The sequence below is a fragment of the Homo sapiens genome, chromosome 2 (genome assembly GCF_000001405.40).
Source record: "Homo sapiens chromosome 2, GRCh38.p14 Primary Assembly".
NCBI classification, from domain to species: Eukaryota; Metazoa; Chordata; class Mammalia; order Primates; family Hominidae; genus Homo; species Homo sapiens.
This window is the reverse complement of record NC_000002.12, coordinates 165,813,159-165,818,196: the sequence shown is the minus strand read 5'-3', so window position 1 is coordinate 165,818,196 and position 5,038 is coordinate 165,813,159.

The window sequence follows — 5,038 nt, the reverse complement described above, 5'->3', positions numbered from 1 at the left end:
CTATCAGTTGGACATATCTGATCTTTCTTGCAATATTTATTACATACCATCTTTATTATGATTACTTGTGAGTGTCACTTATGACTAGGCTATAATTTCTTTCATGTCTTCCCTAAAAATACAAGGAACATTTATATTTCTTACAATGTTTATCACAGTGCACTATAATAAAAAATAGCATCTACTAACCAGGTAATATGGTAATTTAATGGCTTATATTGTATCACTAAACACTTGGTAATAATAGCAAATGGTTATAGGGCTTACCATGTGTAGTCACTTATTAAAGTACTTTATATCATTAACCTGTCTGTTTAATTTACAACTACTGAGAGGTCAGTTTGCTATTATCATTTCTATTTTCAGATGTGGAAACTGAGGTACTGATAAATTCAATAATTTGCCCAAGTTTAATAGCTAAGTGTTAGCACCAGACTTCAAACTGAGGCAGTTTGGCTTCAGAGTCCATGCTCTAAGTCATTATACAAGACTGCATTGAGGCCTGAGGAGATGTATACCTCAACACTTTGGGCTAAACATCACAATTCCTATTTTAGAGTGGAGGCTTAGAGAAGCAAAATAACTTATTCACAGTCACCACAGCTCATTGGTGAAGATGGGTTCAAAATTATTTTTAACTCTCAAATCCATACATTTTCTACTGCCTATGCTTCAACTGGAATCAAAGTTCTACTTCTCCCTCAGGCATGGCTCAAGTCACAGTTTGTATTTTTCAGGAGAAGTTTTTGCCTGCCCAGCATCTGTTTCCCCCAAGCACACTGCTATTTCTTCAAGGATCTATCCCCTGTCACTCTCAGTCCACAGAGGCAGCATAAGATTTCTATTGCCCTTATGTTTACATATCTTCTAGCCAGCAGGATTTGAAGCTCCTGAGAACAGGGATTCCTCCCAACTTCCTCCTTGTCCTCCTTCCTTCCTTCTTCTCCTCCTTCTTCTCCTTCATTAGGGTGAATCTTATGCATGATACGTAGTAGGAGTTGAAAATATTCATTGAATGAATTGCTTGCACATGGTACTTGCTCACTCGATGTTTGTGGGATTGAACTGTTTGTCAAATTCCATAGCAAATAAAATGGGGCTCACCAAAATGTTAGAATGTCAGTAGGCAGAGAGAGAGATTAAGTATCATATATGCCCCAGGAATCCTCTACTTCCTTGTACCATTCAAGGACAAGAGTATTTGAGGCACTGGAGGTTTCTGAGGCAGTTTTTATGGGAGGGACCACGTAGAATACTTAAGCATAATCTAACCTGTTAGTCATAAGGGAGCAACCATACTGACAGATTCCTCATCTTAAAGGGGGGAAAAAACACAACATTCTCCGGATAGAGCAGTAAAGGGATTATGATACCTGTGTCGATGGCAAAAATCAAGTAATTCCTATGCAGTCCTGGACTGAATCAGATTAAGACATTTAGAGTTTCTAAATAGTAAAGAAGATTACAATGTCCATCCACCTTCTACCCTTCCAAAAATATAGTTAAACAAAGAAACCAAACAAAACAAACTCTAAGCCAAAAACAAATATAACAAAGTCCTGTGAAATTCCAATTTTTTCCACTGATAACTTTTTAAAAAAGCATCATATATCTATGTTCTTCCCAAAAAAATGTTTATAGGAGCCTTCCCTGCTGTGTCCTAAATATGTTCTTGATTGATTTTTCTTTTGCATAGTTTTGTGCTGCCTCTAAGATGAAAAGCAATGGTGGTGTATTTGCTGACACAGTCATGAAAAGGTAGCCTCTCAGATTATGTCCTCTGTTGCTGCACAGTGACCCTGACTTCAGACTTACTGGTCTACATAGATTGTCTATTTCTAGAACACTATTCTATTCAATACTATAACCGACATTCACTTTCCTTGTTCAAAAACCACCAGTTATTTCCCATTATCCACAACAATATTGCCCTGAGTATTTTCTGAAGAAAGCAGTCGTAATTTTCCTAATATTCCTAATTTTGCACTGCATCTGCAGTACAGAAAAAGTGCTTTGAGGTCGCTCCTGTATGGGCCACTCTATCTCATTCATTGGGGATATCATATTACACTTATTATCATATAAAGGCCCTAATGGGTAAAGAAGGTGAACACAATGATAATATTGGAGTCCCAAACATTTGGCTTTGAGATACCATATTTATCAGGGAATGAGATAGAAATGAAGAAGGCCAGTGTAAATGAGGAAGTTAGACAAGATGCAAATAATTATATTACCATTATTCTTAGTACTATACTCTAGTTCCTGCTTCTAATTAAAGAACCTCATATTTCAATCAGTTACTGTCCACACTGCTGAGCCTAGTTTAGGATGATTATATTTTTGACTCTGCATAACATAAAATTGTAGGAGTGGAGGTGAAAAAGTTCAAGGGAGAGGGGTATGAAAAAGGAAGTGTTTACCAAGAGAAAATTTAGCATAGGTCTGCATTACTTCCTTGTGCAGCCATTGATACTTCTTGTTCTGCTGGTTTTAGTCTAAGTTTTCCATTTTATATCTCTATTTGCTGAAAGACAACAAGAGAAAAGCTGGGCCTGGAAAAGAATTGGCCCACAAGATAGTTTTAATAATGGCTAATATTTTGAGTGCTTACAATTTGCAGTCACAGTGCTAAGACTTTGATCATCTGACTAAACCCAGTGCTCATGATGTAGGCACTATTGTTAACCTAAGTTTACAAATGAGGAAATGGAAGCTTAGATTGGTTAAGAAAAAAATAAAACTAACCAAGGCACACAGCTGTGCTTTAATCACTATTCTAAAATGACAAATGAATGATGTGAGTATAATAACCTGAGATGAGACAATGGCTGAGTAAGAAGGGTCTTGGCCTAGGAATAAAAGGGCTCCGTTTTTCATCTGCCTCGATTATGGGGTTATTGTGAAAAATCAGCTAATGTCTCTTTTAAGGCCTCTGTAAATGTACACGAACCAAAAACACAATGCATTACTCTAGTACACATAAGACAGAATGGTTTGAGAATTAGGAAAATCCCATCAGAAAACTAAAATTGAGGGAGTCCACACTTAATATTAGAGGGAGAAAGATGGCTATATGACTATTTGATTAGGTATTCTGATGTTTGGGGCAGACAGAGGAGGATGGGCCCAAGATGCTTTGTAGGAAAGCAAAAAAGCAAAAGAGGAAATACCAAATGAGGATGAGTAGGTGTTGGCTAGCATAGCATGGAGATGTTTAGACAAAAAAAAAAAAAAAAAAAAAAAAAAAAAAGGAGAAAGCAGCAGAAGGAGACAGAGACACCTAAAGCCCAATTCCAAACTAGAGAAACAAGGAAGTGGATTTTTCTCTGGCTGCTGGATTGTCTATGTTTGCCACTGTGGCTGCTGAAACAAATGCTAACCTACTTGGTCTTGTGCATATTTGTTTTGTGGATGCATGGGCCATCTGTGTTCCGTCTATAAGCTTCGCTTGCTTTGCTTTTCTTTCCTCTCTTTGTCTCTTTCTTCCTTTCTTTCTTTCCTCTCTTCTCCTTCCTCCCTCCTTCTCTCCTTCCCTTCCTTCCCTTCCTTCCCTTCCTTCCCTTCCTTCCCTTCCTTCCCTTCCCTCCCTTCCCTTCCTTCCCTCCCTTCCCTCCCTTCCCTTCCCTTCCCTTTCCTTTCATTTCCTTCCTTCCTTCCTTCCTTCCCTTCCCTTTCCTTTCGTTTCCTTCCTTCCTTCCTTCGTTCTTTCCCTCCCTCCCTCCTTGGAAGCTCATGAAGTTGAATTTGAGATTTTTGCCAAATATCTTAAACCAGTGGTCTTCAAATTTAGTAAGAATTGGAATCCCTGAGATTTGTTTGCCAGATTTAGCAATTAAAAGTACAGGATACTCCATTTAATTTGAATTTCAGATAAATAATAAATTTTTTTTTAGTATAAGTATGTTCCAAATATTGCATGGGACAGACATACTTATACTGAAAATTGTTCATTGTTTATCTGAAATTCAAATTTAACTGGATGTCCTATAATTTATCTGGCACCTCTAGCTGGGGGAAGCTTGTTAAAATACAGATTTACTAGTTTCATCTTCTAACTCTGTCAGTTAGTCTGAAATGGAGCCACGTGGGCCTCCAGGTGATTCCAGTGCAGCTTGTTCTTGGACAACACCTTGAGAGATACTGGTCAAGCTCGGATGATGCTGACTTGAGGCTGAAACATTTCAGGAGGAGAGAAGGACACCTGGGAGAGAGGAGGGAGCTATGCATAACCATGGTAAACCCAGGGATGCTAGAGGACCTGGTCCTTGAGTAAGACCAGAAATAGCTCTGAGTGCTAGGACCCCAGTATGGTAACAAAAGAAGACACTGATTGAGCCCCACTGTTGTCATTTAATCCTCTCAACAGCCACATGAGAAAGATAACTCTTATTGTCTGTATCTCATTAGATGAGGAAATAAGAGCTCAGGATTAATTAACTTGTCAAAGGTCGTATAGGTAGTACTGAGTGGAATCAGGGTTTGATCCAAGACTGGTTATTTCCAAAGTCCACATTCTGAGCCAGTCCTATGAAAAAATAGTAGGCTTGAGGAGTTTTGTCAATACAACCATGTATATATATTGCTAAGTTACCTAAAGTATAGTCAGGGATGTGACATTTGCCCTCTGGAAGTGCTCAAACATCTCTACATTCTAATATATAACAGGCAAAGTGTCTGGGCATTTGTGAAAAGCCTAAAGATTTAAGCTACTAAAATATTTGGAGACTGATTAGTTGAGATATTGTTTAAGGAAAGCTTTTTTTGTCTAGAAGGCTCAGCCACATCGCCAAACCCATCATCCTAAAGGAAAGTATGTCAAGGGACCACTTCCTTTGGAGAATAGACCAACAATTCTCTCACCAGTTGACTTGAGACAGCTGAAAAGGCTCAAGAGAATGTCAGATAAGACCACTAGATACAGGGAACAGGTCAGTGGAGGAATTGGAGCCAATTAGACTAGAAGAAAGACAGCTCGAAGAAAACATGGCTAAGGATTCCTAACATTTGTAGAGCTGGTAAAGAGAAAAGGCAATGG